At 42.9% G+C, this 16,690-nt stretch overlaps 2 protein-coding genes and 1 long non-coding RNA gene across 23 annotated transcripts in view, besides 2 other annotated features; 1 reads left to right on the top strand and 2 right to left on the bottom strand.

Moving 5' to 3' along the window:
* The window catches only part of RAPGEF4 (Rap guanine nucleotide exchange factor 4), a 317,576-nt gene extending 315,609 nt beyond the window's left edge, over positions 1-1,967 (bottom strand). For 17 of the 20 annotated variants that reach the window (NR_164739.1, NR_164740.1, NR_164741.1 and 14 more), the window contains exon 1: positions 1,237-1,440. Coding sequence is in view for 15 of the 20 variants with exons in the window: in NM_007023.4 (NP_008954.2) it covers positions 1,237-1,301 (65 nt within the window). In the remaining 5 variants the exon portion in view is untranslated. Of the gene's footprint in view, positions 1-859; positions 1,441-1,879 lie in introns of those variants that run through there. The other 3 variants (XM_047443030.1, XM_006712205.4, NM_001375864.1) reach the window with 2 other exon arrangements.
* RAPGEF4-AS1 (RAPGEF4 antisense RNA 1) lies at positions 1,079-14,096 on the top strand. The gene is made up of 4 exons (NR_026995.1): positions 1,079-1,159; positions 1,824-1,990; positions 2,852-2,980; positions 9,852-14,096. It is a non-coding gene; the product is annotated as an RAPGEF4 antisense RNA 1 (long non-coding RNA).
* Positions 10,246-10,746: an enhancer, noted in NCBI's record as "H3K27ac hESC enhancer chr2:173591267-173591767 (GRCh37/hg19 assembly coordinates)". NCBI's record gives its function as "activates a minimal SCP1, AML or CMV promoter by ChIP-STARR-seq in primed H9 embryonic stem cells {active_cell/tissue: H9 hESC(primed)}" and the evidence as "EXISTENCE:reporter gene assay evidence [ECO:0000049][PMID:30033119]".
* Positions 10,747-11,247: an enhancer, noted in NCBI's record as "H3K27ac hESC enhancer chr2:173590766-173591266 (GRCh37/hg19 assembly coordinates)". NCBI's record gives its function as "activates a minimal SCP1, AML or CMV promoter by ChIP-STARR-seq in primed H9 embryonic stem cells {active_cell/tissue: H9 hESC(primed)}" and the evidence as "EXISTENCE:reporter gene assay evidence [ECO:0000049][PMID:30033119]".
* The window catches only part of PDK1 (pyruvate dehydrogenase kinase 1), a 168,940-nt gene continuing 165,222 nt past the window's right edge, over positions 12,973-16,690 (bottom strand). For both annotated transcript variants that reach the window (XR_007076395.1, XR_007076402.1), the window contains one exon: positions 12,973-13,096. The gene's annotated coding sequence lies outside the window, so the exon portion shown is untranslated. The remainder of the gene's footprint in view (positions 13,097-16,690) is intronic.

Here is a 16,690-nt window from a genome sequence, read left to right as displayed (position 1 = left end):
TACTTTAATTCTCTTACTATTTATTGCATGCAACTCTTTTAATATTAGTACATATCATTTTAGACATAAATAGGGCACTACCTGCCAAAAAATCTTGCTACTGAGTGGTAATTGAAAGTCAAGATTATTTCTCAGATATATTAAGCTTTTCAAATGAGCTACATTTAGCTTTTCTCAAATTACTTAATATTTTTCAACAAAGGCCTATAATAGAGTATGCAAAGCACGTCACACTTAAGATTTTCAAGTTTGATCTGGTTACGAATCTGTTAATTGAAAATTTTTCAATATGGCAGAGCACAAAATATTTCACACAAATGCAAATAGAGATGTCATGCAGATAGCTGCAAGACGTGCATCATTGCCCTTCTGCATCAAACTCCGAAATTCAGAGGCAGTTCACTCTGCAAGATTTCTTGCTCAGTTCTTAAAAGTTCAGATGCATCACCTTTTAATCAGGGTAATAAGCTATAATTGCTAACATACTGTGTAACGTTTAAACCTGCAATCTGGACAAACAGAAAATTATGCTGTCACAGCCTGGAAACAACTGCAATCCACTGTTAACACACACATCCTCCTTAGAGAGAGCTGTCGTCGGGAGTTACATGCTTTATGGTTTTAATTATTTTTAGCGTAAAGATCTTTTCCCGAGAAGCAGGTATTAAGACGAAAGCAGCCTCCCAAATGACCTTCTCTAACACAGACCTTGAGCGAGCGACTGCGGGGGCAGAGAGCTGTGAATTTCAGCAAGGGATTCGACAGCTCCACCGGGTCCCTCACACTTTGCTTTCAAGAACAAAAAAAGAATGTTACTCTGCACCTGCCGGTGCCCCCACCCCTCTTTAAAACTTCATACCCCGCAAGGTCTGAATAGCCGGAAAGGGTATGCATCGATTCTTCTGTCCCGTGATGCCAAGAGAAAATAAACCCCCACCCAGGAGCGGAGCCTGGAGTCGCGGCAGGGCAGGGGGTTGGAGAGGTGGGTGCTCTCTCCCCTTACTGCGCTGCATTTTCTCCACCACGTGTAATAATCTCATGCCGCTGGCACCCCACGAGAGGCGGGGATCCTTGTCCTCCTGTCTCCCGGACGAGGACCTCAACCCCTTCCCCCGCTCGGGGACCCCGGCCACCCGCAGCCCGGCCGCGCTGCGCCCAGGTGCGGAGCTGCGGCGGTCTCAGGGCCCGGGCAGCACCGCAGAGCTCGGCCCCCGGCTGCGGCCCCCGGCGAGCTACCTTTTATCCAGGCAGGCGATCCACTCGGCAGAGGAGGAAGAATGGGCAGCGTGCGCAGCGACCATGTTGAGCGGCGGCGCGCGGTGTCCCTGGCTGCGGCGACCTCCCGCGCTCGCTCTGCCTGCGCCTCCGCCCCCGCCTCGTCCGCCGCGCGGACCCCGCTCCTCCCGGACGCCTGGCGACCAGCGCGGCTGCGACAGGCCCGCCCTCCCCGCGGGCTCCCGCGGCCTGGGGCGGTGGGGAGAGGGAGGGGACCCGGGGGGCGGGACGCGGGTGCGGGGAGGGCCGAGTCGCCCGCCCGCCCGCCGCTGCACTGCGGCGCCCGTGGGTGGGGATTCCGCCCCGGGGTGGGGACCCCGCGGTCCCGCTGCTGGGGGACACTGGGGGTGGCGACCCCGGTGGCCGGCCACCTGCGACAGGTGTCCGCTGCGTCCCTCGGAGACTGGGGCCCCACCCTCACCCCGGGGCCTCTGAGGCGGGGCGGGAGGGCAGGCGCCAAGGCAGAGTGGGGAGAGGGCTGCCAGTGTCTATATATTTTTCATACAGCAAATGCTACTAAAATGGCTGCTGCCTCTCTGTTTCCTTAGAAACCCATGAGTCTTCCTCAGCAGCTGTCGAAACTTGCCGGCGGTTGCTTGCTCACCTTTGCTGTCTCCCCTTCAGAAAAGGCTGGAGGGGAGGGCGAGGAAGGCTTGGCGTGGGGACGCCCGTCGAGTCTCTCAGTGAGGAATGAGAGGCCAGCTTCTCCTGCGGGGTGAGGAAGGGCTGGGCGCAATGGGGGGCAGTGCGGGCAGGGCTGAGGGGCAGGGAGGGAGGAGGCCGGTGGGCCCGATGTGGTCTGAGGGGGTGACAGGCTGAAGTCACTGGCCTTGAACCCTGGGCCTGCCTGGGCTTCCATCACCTGCATGGTGAAGAAAACACAGTTGAGAATGGGGAGTAGCCGGGCCACAGCAGAACCGAGACCCCGGACGCGCAGGTGAACTTGTATGGCTGGCCCCCTTGCTGTTCTTCCTCTGGCTGGAGTGTTGAATGGGTGGTGATAACGGCCTGTCTCTTGTAGATGTTCACACAAATGTCATGTCTACAAGTTATTCAGTTACACTCTGCCAAGAACCAAATTACACGCCAATGGTTGTTTAGGAATTTGCGGACAAGTTAAATGTTTTGGACTATTACCAAGCACTGTTTTGATATTTATGGCACTACATTTGGGGCCAGACAATGGGGGAAAGGGACATAGCATTGCTTTCTTCTACTGTTCCCTGCCTCCTCCCCCCACCAAACCTCCTATCCAACCCTGCTCAGGGGAGAGTCAGGGGGACTGGAGAGAAGGAAAGAGCAAGTGCTTTCTGGGATGCTTTGATCCTAATAAAACAATTATTACCATGATATAAAAGCCTCCAAATATGTGCCATTTCCCTCTGCTGGATAGCCAGGATCTAGTTTCAGACCTGCCACAGTGTTCCCACAGCAACTCCTCCCTCCCTGCTCAGGGCTTTTCCCCCAGTTAACCTTCATTCTGTTAATTTCTATCATGTTTATGCTAATATTTAAAATAATATACTATAGAAAGATTAACCAAAGGTATTTATGTTGTGGCTTTTTTACTATACAGGTATGAAGGAGGAACTGTATCTCCTATATATATTAAGTTTCATTTATAAAGACATCAGAGAGCACCTGAGAATGTTTCAAGGTCACCAAAAGCTTTCTGAAAATGCCTTTCTGCAAAGAAGGTTTCCAGGTAAGGAGCTAGAGGAGAAAGGAGCTGCACATCACCTGTCATCACACAGAGGCTCAGAGTTGCCATAGCTTTGGTTATGATACTAATAATAGTCGCCATTTATTGAACATCCACTGAGTGTTAGACCCTGTGCAGTACTCCTTACATGTGTGATCCCATTTAATCTTCAGAACACTCTATGAGGCAGAGCCAGAAAGACACTACTCCACAAACAGCAATAAATATCCTTGAAAATGTAGTGAAATATTGAAAATGATATGTATCAGTACTTTCAGGGAGAGTGTTAATTGGATTGGAAGGAAGACACTGATGAGCTGCTGGGAGTGAGAGTGAGACCCTCGAGGAGTCCACAGTGCATTTTAAGGAGTGTAGCTCTGATGAACTGCAAGGCCTTTGTTTTGCTGTGTGGGGGCCCTGCCTCTTCTCTAAAGAGAAGTTGAAGACTTATTTAAAGAACATCCTTTCGAAGGAGAACCAACAATCACTAGCTTGTCCAGAGCATGCTCATGTCTTCATCCAGCCCTGGAGGTAGGTACAAGTAACTCCAAGATACTCACTAAGACACTGAACTCAGGAAGGGTCCATAACCCAGCTACAGGAGATGGGGCCCCGGAGTGGAATTTGGGTCTGTCTGATTCCAAACCCTTCCACATCAGTGATGGTGTCCCTGTTTCTGCCAATAGAATGGGAGTATAGGGCATGTCTACAATGACTGTCCAGAGGGTAAGAACAAAATAGTTATAAATCAGTTTTTTAATGTAAAAATAGAGAAATGTGTGAGGAATTAAAAAACAGAGATCCTTAAAACATCAGGAATAGCTTTACTGTCCTATAGATTATCTTGTGATCTGAAAGGGATTTGATTGCTGGTCAAGAACTACAGGAGTAAAGGAAACTCTGTTGATAATTAGTTATTATAGTATTAAGAGGAAGAAAACAGGCTTTTGCTTGGATTGGATGGGAAAGGCAAAGAACCAAAGAATATTTATTCATTTCCCTCTCTTTAAAAGAACACAATATATGTCAGTCCCAAAAGAGCATATGTTGTATGATCCTATTTATGTGAAACTTCCAGAAAAAGCGAATCTATAGAGATGGAAAATAGATTAGGGATTGCCTAAGGCTGGGAGGTGGGAATAAGGGATGACTGCAGATGGGCCTGAGAAATCTTCTAGAAATGATCTAAAATTGAACTGTGGTGATGGATACACAACTCTATAAATTTAATAACAATCATCAAATGGTATAGTTAAAATGAGTGAATTTTACAGTATGCAAATTATCTCAATAAAAATGTTAAGTAAATAAAATATTAATAAACCTATATGGAGAGGAAAAATAATATGATTGATCTTTTGGGGGGAAACAGAGAAAAATATAGGAGAAAAAGTAAAAATTACCCATAATTCCATAACATAGAGGTAATACTGTTAATATTTTAGTGCATTTAATTCTAAACTTTTCTATTATGAAAAGATACAATCAAGGCCAAGCACAGTGGCTCACATCTGTAGTCCCAACAATTTCGGAGGACAAGGCAGGAGGATTGCTTGAGGCCAGGAGTTCAAGACCAGCCAGGGCAACATAGTGAGACCCCCCCCATCTCTACAAAAATTAAAAAAAAATTAAAAATTAGAAGTGATATGATCATACATGTACCCACAAACACATACATATAACTAGCTATGTGTATGTATATGTGTGCATATATGTATGTGTATAGATACATGTATTCAAACAGACTTGAAAGCATTAATAGTTTATAGGCTACTTTTTCTATTGGAATGGAAAAATGCTTTACTTTCCTTAAAAAATCCTTAAACATTTTTTCCTGGCCACCAAATATTCTAGTGTACAGTTATAATTTACTTACACTATCTTTTGAGACTTGTTTTTTCACTTGGAAAAGGTATTATCTGTTTAATCTCCTTCCTATAGTTTAGTGAATTCTTTCTCTACTAGAGAACTAAGATCTCTACTGAAGATCTCCATGAGACAAGGATGAGACAAGACCAATATCTGTTAATGCTATGTAGATCCTCGAATGAGTTGCTAAAATGTCTGATTTCCATTTTGTTCATCTGAGCAGAGGTTCAAAGTTAGGAATTTGAAGGCAGGCAGCCAAGTTCAAATTGCAGCCATATCTTCTACTAAATGTTTGGCCTTAAATTAACTACTTAGCCTAAGACTCCGTTTCATCATCTGTAGAGTGGAGAAATTAATAGTATTATACATGAATTTGGTATTTGTAAGATATTTAGCATAAGTGCCAAGCACATAGTGAGTGTTCAATAACTCTTAGCTATTATTCTCCATATAGTGCAAATAATACTAGGTGCTCTCTGCATTTCACAGGGACCTGGTGGTGATAAGCTGTCGAGATCACTTATGCTAAAGGGCTTCGACATCTATAAATTGCAAGTTTTGGCTATAAAGGATATGAGGGATGGGTCTCCTGAGAAACCCATAGAAATTCTCCAGGAAATTCTATCATAGATTGGGCATTCACTCATATCCGTATATGGGGAAAAATCTGATTCACCATGTTTTAGGTACCTCATTGGAAGGTAGGTTATAAAAACACATCTATCACTCCTGCTGGTGATATAACCAATTCAATGAAGACGCAGTATTCCTTCGGTGAAATCATAAAAGCAATTTTAATGTTTTATCTCACTGTCCTTTTAAACTTGCTCAGTGAAGGCAATTCTACCCCTGCCACTGGATATAGCTTGTTTGGTCACTTATAGGTAATAGAAAGTACCAGATTCTTTCTATTAGAATGCCCAAACCAATATATCACTACATATTTCAATCTTCATTTCAAAGAAAAGAACTCTGCCCTCCTCCCCAACCTACAGCTGGTCACAGGCAGGTCTCAGCCTTTAGGAGAGAAGACGTGGTCAGCTTCTCCTTTCCTTCCTCATCCCAGACCACCATGAAAGCTGCTGGTTTTGACCCTTCCAGAATCAGAGTAGGGAAGGGAAGAGAGAAAAGAAGGGGCAAGAAAGTTCTTACTTTACTGGGACAGTTGTAAGATGGCATTGTCTTTTCCAAACCTGGCTAATGTCAAACCTGCTCTTTATCTTGTGGGTGCCTTCATTTTTTCTTAGGTGCCCCTGCTGCTGGGCCCCCCACATAAGCAAGTGTCACTGGATTTCCTGAGTCCCCCTCCAAATTTCCTCCCTCCGTAGGACTCCCAATTTATCTTCCACCCACACCCCAGCTGTCTTCTTGAGCAGGATTTAAAGGGGCTCCAGGATCGTTCTCTTCTGTGTGTCCCACATTTGGTCCATAGGGACACTCAACACCTATTTTGCTCTAATAAACTCAGAGTGCAGACCAATCCTACCAACCGTGCAGCCTCTTCACTCGCCAAAGAGGCTCACCAATCCCTCTCTCCTGATCTGTAGGTTTCCAGGGCTGGAGTCAGACAACAATCCCCTATGCTCCCAACTTACAGGTTCTCTGAGTGGCCCACATGGAGAGGAAAAAATAGTATGAGAAATATTACTTTTCAAGACTTTCCATGACTAAAACAAGAAAATACTCCTGTTTTAGTCATGGTTCTCCAGAGAAATAGAACCAATGGATTATATATCTGTAACTATGTCTATATCTGTATCTATAAAAGGAGACTTATTATGAGGAATTGGCTCCCACAATTATGGAAGCTGAGAAGTCCTACCATATGCCATCTGCAAGATGGAAACCCAAGAAAGCGGTGTAATTCAGTCTGAATCCAAAAGCCTGAAAACTAAGGAAGCTGCTAAAAATCCCAATCCAAGAGCAGAAGACGAGATGTCCCCATGCTAGCAGTAAGGCAGGAAAAAAGGGGCAAATTTCTCTTTTTGTTCTGTTCAGGCCCCCCAACTAATGGGATGCTGCCTCCTTGAGGAGGGCAATCTACTGAGTCCACTGATTGAAATGCTGATCACATCCAGAAAAACCCTCACAAACACACAAAGAAACAGTGTTTAATCTGGGGACCCGTTGGTCCACTCAAGGTGACACATAAAATTAACCATTACAACTCCTCACAAAATCTTCCTTTAATTTCTCCTTCGTAGGCACTATTTCCCCCTTCAGGTGAGAAGTTTTAGACCCATGAAACTGGTCTTTAGTATTTTGATTGAAAGTTTGCATCTTGGCATCTCACTTTGGAATTTCATAGCTATTCTATTTTGGTGCCTGACGTGAAACTTGCAATTTAACATCTGTGACTTGGGCTAGTGAAAACTGAATCAAGTCAACTTCCTTCCACACCTTCAACATTAATTCCTACTCAACCAAGACAATTGCCTTTTCTACGCAAAGTGATTCGCCTGGGACTTGGGAGGAATACCATACTCATTAGGGAAGTACAGCTCTTACAGTCTCCTGAGCTTTCTAAAAAAGAAATGCGTAATTAAAAATATCTGATCAGGAGAGTCCCAATTTGTGGGTAACAATAAAAAGGTTGTGGTTTGTTTTAAAACTGTGATTTGTCCATTTAGGGGAATATATTTGGATTAAGATCTTAAAGCGATAATAAGGGGAGACAGGAAAGTGGCTAAAATTTTATTTACGATAACACTTTTTTTTAGACTTTACTGCTAAAGCAAAAGTCACAAATGACCCACATTTAGGACCTCAATATTTTCAGTACTAAATTAAGTATTGAGGAAAGAAAAGAACTTTCATCTGAGGATTGTGAGCCCTTACGAATTGTTAGGCCCAGAGAGGCATTAAAATGAGATCACAGTTGTGCCCTATTACCCACTCTGAGCTATGTATTTATCTCCTGCAACTGCTTAGCTATTGTCACAGTAGCTATAAATTAACCTAATAATGCCACACCAGACACTATAACCCACACCCTATAGCTTACCAACGCATAGCCAATCACTAATCAGTGTTAAGTCTGTAAACCAATGAGAATTCCTGACAAACAACTTTGTATCAGCCCACTCACTGTTTTCCTTTCTTACCTTTAAAAGTCTGCCTGTAGGCCCTTTGCAGTGGCTCACTCCTGTAATCCCAGCACTTAGGGAGGCCAAGGCAGGTGGGTCGCTTGAGGCCAGGAGTTCAAGACCAGCCTGGGCAACATGGCGAAACCCCATGTCTGCAAAAAATACAAAAATCAGCCAGGCATGGTGGCACTCGCCTATAGTCCCAGCTACTTGGCGGGGCTAAGGTGGGAAGATCACTTGAACCTGGGAGGTTGAGGCTGCAGTAAGCTGAGATTGCACCACTGCACTGCAGCCTGGGTGACAAAGTGAGACCCTGTTTAAAAAGGAAAAAAGGAAAAGAAAAAAAAAAGATAAATAAAAGTCCACCTGTAACTGCTACTAATCAGAGGGTCTATTCAGGGCAGCATGCATCTATGCTCCTGGGCTGCAATCTTCAAACTCCCGGCCCAAATAAACTCCTACTTATATTAACTCTGCCTCAGTTCCTTTCTTTTGGATCGACAGTATTATTACATTTCTTTGTGACTTTTAGAAGCAGAGTTTTTCTTTTGTTTTGGTTTTGTATTTCTATCATTATGGCATGTAAAAGTAAATTAAATTAGAAAGGAATTAGCTATTTAGTTTTAACTGTACTTTAGATATATCCAACTTCAGGGCACTAGAATTAAGGCAAACAACTAAATATAAGCGCAAGAAAAAAAATGGTTTGAACTTGTCTAGTGACTATCTTCCAATCTCCAGCTTTGTAAAAGACTAAGGTAAAGTTCTGTTTTGTACTCCCTGTGCTCTTCAGGTAACTTCATAGGTAAGGGCAGTTATAGTTCCTCGTTTTACAGAAAGGTAAATTATCCAGTCAGGAGGCAAAGTTAAAATGAACTCTCTTAATTTAAAAAACGTTCAGAGTTAAAATTTGTGACTTAGTTATTAATGCAAGCAAGTCTTAAGGGAAAAGAAAAATCTTTTGTCCTGGAAGTAATTGCATCTGGTTGAGAAGCATACTGACCTCTATAAAGAAAATGGTAGTTATTAGTGTTAGTTCCCGTAACATACGAACTCCCTGCCTCCTGGGAGGCAATAGGCTAGGAAAGAGCTTGAACGCTCCACCTCGCCCCCTTCCCAGAAGGGACAATTCCTCACAAAGCCAGAATGGTGAAAGTCAGCAATCCACAAATCACTCAGGTCCAAAGTGGGTTCAGCACTCCACCTATGCCACAGTCTTCCTCACCAAAACGAAGCCTGCACTTTCTCACCAAAACAAAGGGAGAGGGTTACATATGCCACTTTCTCAAGCTCAGTTGGTAAAGTTGCAGTAATTAACTTTGGTACATAATTTGCAGTGAGGAAAATGTCACCATGTCACAGCTTTAGTCTTAGGCTTATTTTCTAGTGGTGGAGTATATTTATTTTGGTGAAATAACAAGCTGCCATTGCTTTTTATTATTGTACGAAAGACACAGAGTACATTATTCAACTCGGAAAATCTCTACCTGTGTTATACTCATTTTTCACACTAATAGAGAAAATTACCACAAACGAATTTTGAATGAATTATGGTCACCCAGTGTTTGTTACAATTTCCTTTTCATCAGTAATCCAATATGGTCTCCTACATATTTCAATAAATGGATGACTTTATATAGTGAATTCCACAGAGAAAATAGCACAGGAAAGAGAGAATGTGACTAAAAATCATATTGATTATATTGAACCAAGAGCATGTTGACTTGAAGGAAGTAAAATGGAGAATTGTCATTTAAAGTGAGACACATTAAATCTTGACTGGGCAATAAATAATAAGGAGCTGAGCTCTTTCGCTTAGGTGACACTAACTTTCACCTTAAAAATATGATAGTGCCACAGCTAGTAAAGAAGATATATTTATTGGCATTTTGGGACTAAAAGTACTAGTTTGGTTCTAGAGATAGAAGATAACTCAGGAAGCTTAGAAGAGGTCAACCTGGGAAGACAGGATTCTTTCTCCCCACCCGTGGCTCTGCAGGAAGCAATACCCTCCCCTCTGGGCAAGGTCGACCCTCCAAGTCCAGATGAGAAGAGTTCCCTCTGTCTGCTCTTTCCTCTGCCTGATGACCCAGAGGCTTTGCAGCTGTGATCCTGGCAGCCCCTGGCCACCTCAGGGAGCTGCAGAATTCAAACCCTGGAAATGGAGCTCTGCTTGCAGCTGCACCTGGGGCCTGACCTGCTTAGGACAGGCCTGTCTGGACCTAAGAGAACCCCACTGCCACCCACTCAGCTACTCCCTAACAGACTGCAGAGACCAAGTCTTTTTCATTTCTTTATATCCATTGATTTCTCGAGTTATTGAAACTCAATATTTACTGAGCACCTACAATGTGCCAGGCACTGTGATAGGCACTGAAGAAAGGGCAAAGGACGAGCAGATAAATTTCCTACTTGCAGGGAACACCGTGGTAGTGAGTAAAATGAGACATTGCAAATAAACACATAAATATATAATATGTCAACTGGCAATAATTGATGCGAAGAATGATTAAGCAAAACAAGGAAATGCAGAGACAGGGAAGGAGCATCTATCTGGTATGAAGTAGTCAGAGAAGGCCTCTCTGGTCAGATGACATTTGGGCAGAACCTGGGGCCTGTCTCAGCACCACCTGTTCCTTCCTCGGCCACTTGCTCCCTGCAGCCACCAAAGGCCCCTGTGGTTTTCCCGCCTGAGGCTCACCAGCCACAGGCCTAGAATATCTGGCTTCTCTCCCCACGTCCAAACTCAGCTGAAATGCCAAACTGCAGGACCTTGTTTCCTGAGCAACTGCCAATGGGGCTGAATGATGCAACTCGGAAAGGAAGAGGATTTCATTCCCCCTGAATGGACTTTGCACCAGTGGGAGACAGGAAACAGGAGATTGGAGGATACTGGGCAGCTGAACTGCCTCACCCTTTCCCCCTGCCCCGTCTGGTGCACAATTTCTCCACACAGCCTGCTGTGTGTGGCCAAGCCTGTGCGCCGACTGAGTGTTATGGGTTGAACTATGTTCCTCAGAAAGATATGTCGAAGTCCTAACCCCCAGTAACTGTGAATGTGGCTTTATAGTATTTGGAAACAGGGTCTTTGCTGATGCAATCAAGTTAAGATGAAGTCATTAAGGGGGTAGGGGCCTAATCCAATCTCTTGTCCTTAGAAGGAGAAAGACAGAGACACATCAGGGGAAGATGGTGAGGTGACAATGGAGGCAGAGATTGGAGCAATTTATCTAAATGCTAGGCAACGCCACAGAGAGCTGCAAACACCAAGGCTAGAAGAGGCAGGGAAGGAGCCTCCCCTACAGGTTTCAGAGGGAGCATGGCCTCACCATACCTTTACTTCAGACTTCTAGCATCCAGAACTGTGACACAACACATTTCTGTTGTTCTGAGTGACAACAGTGTGTGGTGTGTTATTACAGCTGCTCTAGAAACTAACATATCGAGCAGCCAGCTGTGTGGGATTGTACCTCCCAAGTAACCCTCTAAGACTTAACCTTTGCCCAGGGCTCTGTCTCTAGAGAACTGTGACAATGATAGGTAGACCTGAATAAAGCGAAGGATGATATCTGCAGGGATATTTGAGGACAGGGAGTGCTGACAAGGGAGGAGCCAGTGCAAAGGCCCCGAGGTGGCAGTATGCTTGGTGTGTTGGAGGAGCAGGAAGGTGACCAGGGTGTTTGGGGAGTGAATAAGGGGAAGAGTGCTCAGAGGAGAAGTCAGAGGAGGGGCCAAAGACATGTTCTCTAGGGCCAGAAAGGCCTTTGGATCTTTTCGACATTATCTTCTTGACATGTAATTTATATAGTAGTAAAATGAACAAAATGGGTGACTATTTTGTGAATTTTTTAGATACATAAAACCACGTGATCACTATCCAGATCAAATGTTGAACATTTCCATCACCCCAGAGAGTTCACTCCTGCTACCTTCCAGTCAATACAACTTACCAATCCTGAGGCAACCAGTACTCTCTCTTTTATCATCATAAATTTGTTTTAACCTGTTCCTTAATGGCATATAAATGAAACTACATAGCATGCTTTTGCTCAAAATAGTGCTTGTGAGGTTCATCCAGGTTGCTGTATGTATACTTCAATTATTATTATTGCTGAGTAGTATTCCATTGCCTGGATATATCACAAATTATTTATCCATTCTTCTGCTGAATATTTGAGTTATTTGCAGTTTAGGCCTATAATAAATGAAGCCGCTAGGAACATTTATGTGTTCCTCTTATTTTGGTTGCATGCAATCATTTCTCTTGGTATAAACCTAGCAGTGTATTTTCTGGGTCAACTGGCTTAGGTTTAGGTTAACTGTATTCGTTTACACCATTTTATACTCCCGTCAGCAATATATGAGTTCCAGGTATTCTGCATCCTCACCAACACTTGGAGCCTTTCTGGTAGGTGTGTAGTGGCATTGCATTGTGCTTTCAATATGCATTTTTCTGCTGACTAATGCACTCCTTTTTATATGCCTATTATTCACATATCTCCTTTTATGAAGTAGGTATTCAAGTCTTTTATTCACATTTTATGTTTTGTTATGGCCACATCTCACTTCCAGAATCTGTATTGGTTATCTATCGCGCATTAAAAAAGTACTCTAAAGCTTGACAGCTAAAAACAACAAACATTCATTCTCTCACACAGTCTCTGCAGGTCAGGAACCTGGGTGCAGCTTCATGGGGTGGTTCTGGCTCAGGGTCTCAGGTTGCATTTGAGCTGCTGTCTGAGGTTACAGCCCTACCTATCAAAGCTGAACCAGAGCCAGACTCCATGTCTAAACTCACTTATGTGAGCTTCAGTGTGAGAAATGTATGAATTTTGTTTGATGAAATATTGAAAAGCTTAACAACTTCCTCCTACTCTCATTGGCCTCTTGGTGCCCAGTATCTGAGTCTGAAAAATCTCATCTATAGGAATCAATGGCAGCAAAGACAGAACCAAGGTCCCACGGCTATTGGGGAGGTTGGCAGATGAGTGAGGAAAAAGGGGTGTCAGCAATCTAAAAATATTCAGGCTCACAGAAATATAACTGTTTGAAATGACTCACTTTTATTAAGATCCTGCCATCTCACTTACCAGCTTAAAAAAAAATAGATCACAGCAGAATGTTTCAAATTCTCCATAAATGGCCATTTGATCCAGCAACCTACCTGTGGAAATTTATGCCAAGATTAGAATCTACAAAATACATACAGAGATGCACATTGAAGTATTATTTATTAGGAATCTAAATTGTGGAATCATTAAAGAGAATACATATTCCCTCAAAAGAATACCATGGTGTTATTAAAAGTAGTCATTATGAGTGGTTAGGATATAATATAATATTACAGGAAATTCTTAGGATATACCATCAAGTAGAAAAACTTTTCTTCCCAGCTTTTCAATGTGAAAATGTTTAAACCTACAGGAAAGTTGTAAGGCCAGAACAATAAATGCTTGTATAGCCTTCATCTAGATTCTCCAACAGTGACCACAGTTGCCACATCTCTTTAAGTGTAATGCTCATCCTTTGAGAGTAAGTGCAGACATTTTGATACCATGCTCTAAGTACTACAACACCTATCTAAAATTGTAGAAGGAAACTCTTCTATGATTTTCACACTCAAGACATTTAACACTGATATAAAGTTTATATTCAAATTTCTCCAAAAGATTTAAAACTATCTCTTTGGCTTGTGTTATCCAGGACTCAATGGAGGATTGAGCATTGCATTTAGTTGTTGTGCCTCTTTAGTTTTTTTTGATCTAAAACAATCCCTCAACCATTTTTAAAAATTCTTTCATGACATTGACATTTTTAAAAGACTCTGGAACAGTCATTTTACAGAATATCCTTCAATTTGGATGTGTCTGTTTCCTCAAGATTAGAAATTACATGAACTTCTTGGCTAACTTCTCCATTTTATTTTGTGTTCAAAATATATTACTCTTTCCCATGTCCTGTGAAAATAAAAAATCTCTAATGTGTTTGTGAAAAAGATTAAGCTAAGATTTTGTTTGGATGCAGTGTGATTTGGACTTAGGTGTGTGTATCTGAACTTCATCCTTTGTCATCAAAAGAATAGTATAATAACTAAGAACATGTAGCTTAAGAAATCCAGGCACTTGAGAGCCACTGTAAGTAAACTCTAATTCCCACAGCAGAAAGAAGGGGTCTGTCTGCTTTTTAACCACCAAAAGTTTATCTATATCAGGACTGTTTCCTATTCTTTGTTTCTTTCTATTTGCCAGACCAGTCTATAAGCTAGTAAGGAGTTCATCGGTTCATCAGAATAGACTTCAAGACACTAGATCACAATCCCAACAATTAAAATCATCTGCTTTGCCACTGCTCAGATGGAAGCAGTATGTGTGCCTTCAAAAATGTTTTACTAGAAATTTTGAGTCCTGAAAATACCTGATTTCTAAACTAAACAAGCAGAATCTAGGCAGAGGGATGTCTAAATTTCATTTATAACTTAGCCGATTAAGGCTGCCAATAAATCATACCAACTTATATAAGTAACAGCCATGGTAAGGATATTGCCTTAATGGTAAGTGCCTCTTACTTGAGATTTACAAATCTGGGTACTATTTCTAGGAACAGCCTACTGAATGCATCCAAGAGCTTGGCTTAAGTCCCAGGGATGACGAAGTTCTTTGAACCCATGCCATCACCCCTACCTCACCTGCCATGATAGTTATTGCCAATTAATCACAGTGTTCTTTTCTATTAGCCTGGACACTGCCTCAGACAATTTCCCAACACAGCACTACAAGCAGCCACTAATAATAATTTGGAGTCAATACATCAGATGAAATCTTTATCACCCTTGGAAAATATATTTTTCTGAATCTCATCTAGTTTTTAGCTTCTCGACTTCATCTACACATGAATGGTGAGGCTGTAGAAGTCTGTTTCTTGTGAATGACCTACAGATAACTGGCAAGCTTGGTAAAATCTCATATCAGAGCAGGTTGACCAGGTGATTTGACTAGGGAAGGAAAGGATAAGATTAGTTAGGGTTGGCCATTTGCCAGGACAATTGACCTCAATATCTCTAAGAGCTGGAACACAAAGTTGATGTCTTGCTCATGAAATAATCCAAGTTGACTCCAGGCTTGGGGGATGGGAGTGTATGAGTTCCATTCTGCACAGTCATTAGGGATTAGGACCAATAGAGGCTCTGTCTTCTTAAACACCTGACTTCCCACATCACTGTGGGCATTTGCATCCACCTGGTGGTAAGGGAAGGAGCATGGAGGAATGCCACGTGAGTGGCTTTTACAGGGGAAGCCTGAAAGTGGCTCACATCAATTCTGCAATTTTATATTTGCTAGAACACAGTTACATGGCAGTAGCTAACGGTAAGGCAAGCTATAAAGTGTAGTTCATGGAAGAGCCAACTGTTCCCAATGGCATTCTACTATAGAAGAGAGCATAAATGTTTGGTGGCCAGCCAGCCACCTCTGCCCACAAAGAGAGGCTGTTCTGGGAAACTCCAAGCCTTCTTGTAGGACAAGAAAATGATGATAGCACTTGGGTGCACATAGCAATATGCCAGACACAATATTGCCTGGCCTTTTCCTAGCTGGTCTATGACTCAGCCAAATGTGAAGATGAAATTTTGGATAGTGAAAATTATTAACCCTTCCATGCATTACTGGGAAAAATCTGCAAAATTTTAATCTCTAGAATAACTTTAAAGATACAATGGGGGCCAGGCACGGTGGCTGACACCTATAATCCCAGCACTTTGGGAGGCTGAGGTGGGCAGATTACCTGAGGTCAGGAGTTCGAGACCAGCCTGGCCAACATGGTGAAACCCCGTCTCTGCTAAAAATATAAAAATTAGCCAGGCCTGGTGGCACATGCCTGTAATCCCAGCTACCTGGGAGAGTGAGGCAGAATTGCTTGAACCTGAGAGATGGAGGTTGCAGTGAGCTGAGATCATGCCACTGCACTCCAGCCTGGCCAACAGAATGAGACTGTGTCTCAAAACAACAACAAAAAGATACAATGGGAGTTCTACTTCTACCTAGGATGTAGAAAGCAAACAAAAACACCTTTTCCACCCTAGAAATAAGAAAAACTACAGATAAAATACAAACTCATAATTTTTCTTGAACCCATCAGATAGTTAAGGCCATAGGGCAACTAGGTAGCTTGAAATCCAAGGCGTCTCTAAGAATACAGGGTACAAGCTCTGTCTCACCTTCGGCAGAACACAGGAAGAAGAGATGCCGGTTGCCATCAAACAAGTAGGAAGGATTTGCTAAAATTTCTAACAAATTGCAGAAGTCTGACTGTGAACTAGTGTGACAGTACAGGTTTGTCTGGGAGCCACAGACAGAGAAGCAGTTCACACTTACAAGATCGTCTTCACAGATTTCCATTTGGTGCTCATGAGAAAGACTGGGTGAGGGTGGGGGACCAGAGGGAGTCTTCCTTGGTGGTGCAGGCCTGGAGGAGGGGAGTGCAGTTGCTGAAGGAAAGTCACAAAGCCCTCCTTAGATGCTTTCTCAAGGAACAAAAGCCTCTAGCCTTGGGGGAAGAACCAGAAACTTCATATCTCCAAGACTAGATGAAAACCCATTACAGCTAGAGAAAGAGAAAACAAAACAAAACAAAACAAAACCTTGTCATTATTGGAAGAGCAAGGAACAGTCCTGGGCTCAGGATCCTACACCATTACTAATAGAAGTCTCCTACTACTGGGCAGGTACAGGGAAGTCCCATAGAAGATTTGCCAAAGATGCAA

Source organism: Homo sapiens, chromosome 2, assembly GCF_000001405.40.
Source record: "Homo sapiens chromosome 2, GRCh38.p14 Primary Assembly".
NCBI classification, from domain to species: Eukaryota; Metazoa; Chordata; class Mammalia; order Primates; family Hominidae; genus Homo; species Homo sapiens.
Note: the sequence above shows the minus strand (reverse complement) of the source record. Positions and strands in the feature narration are given on the sequence as shown.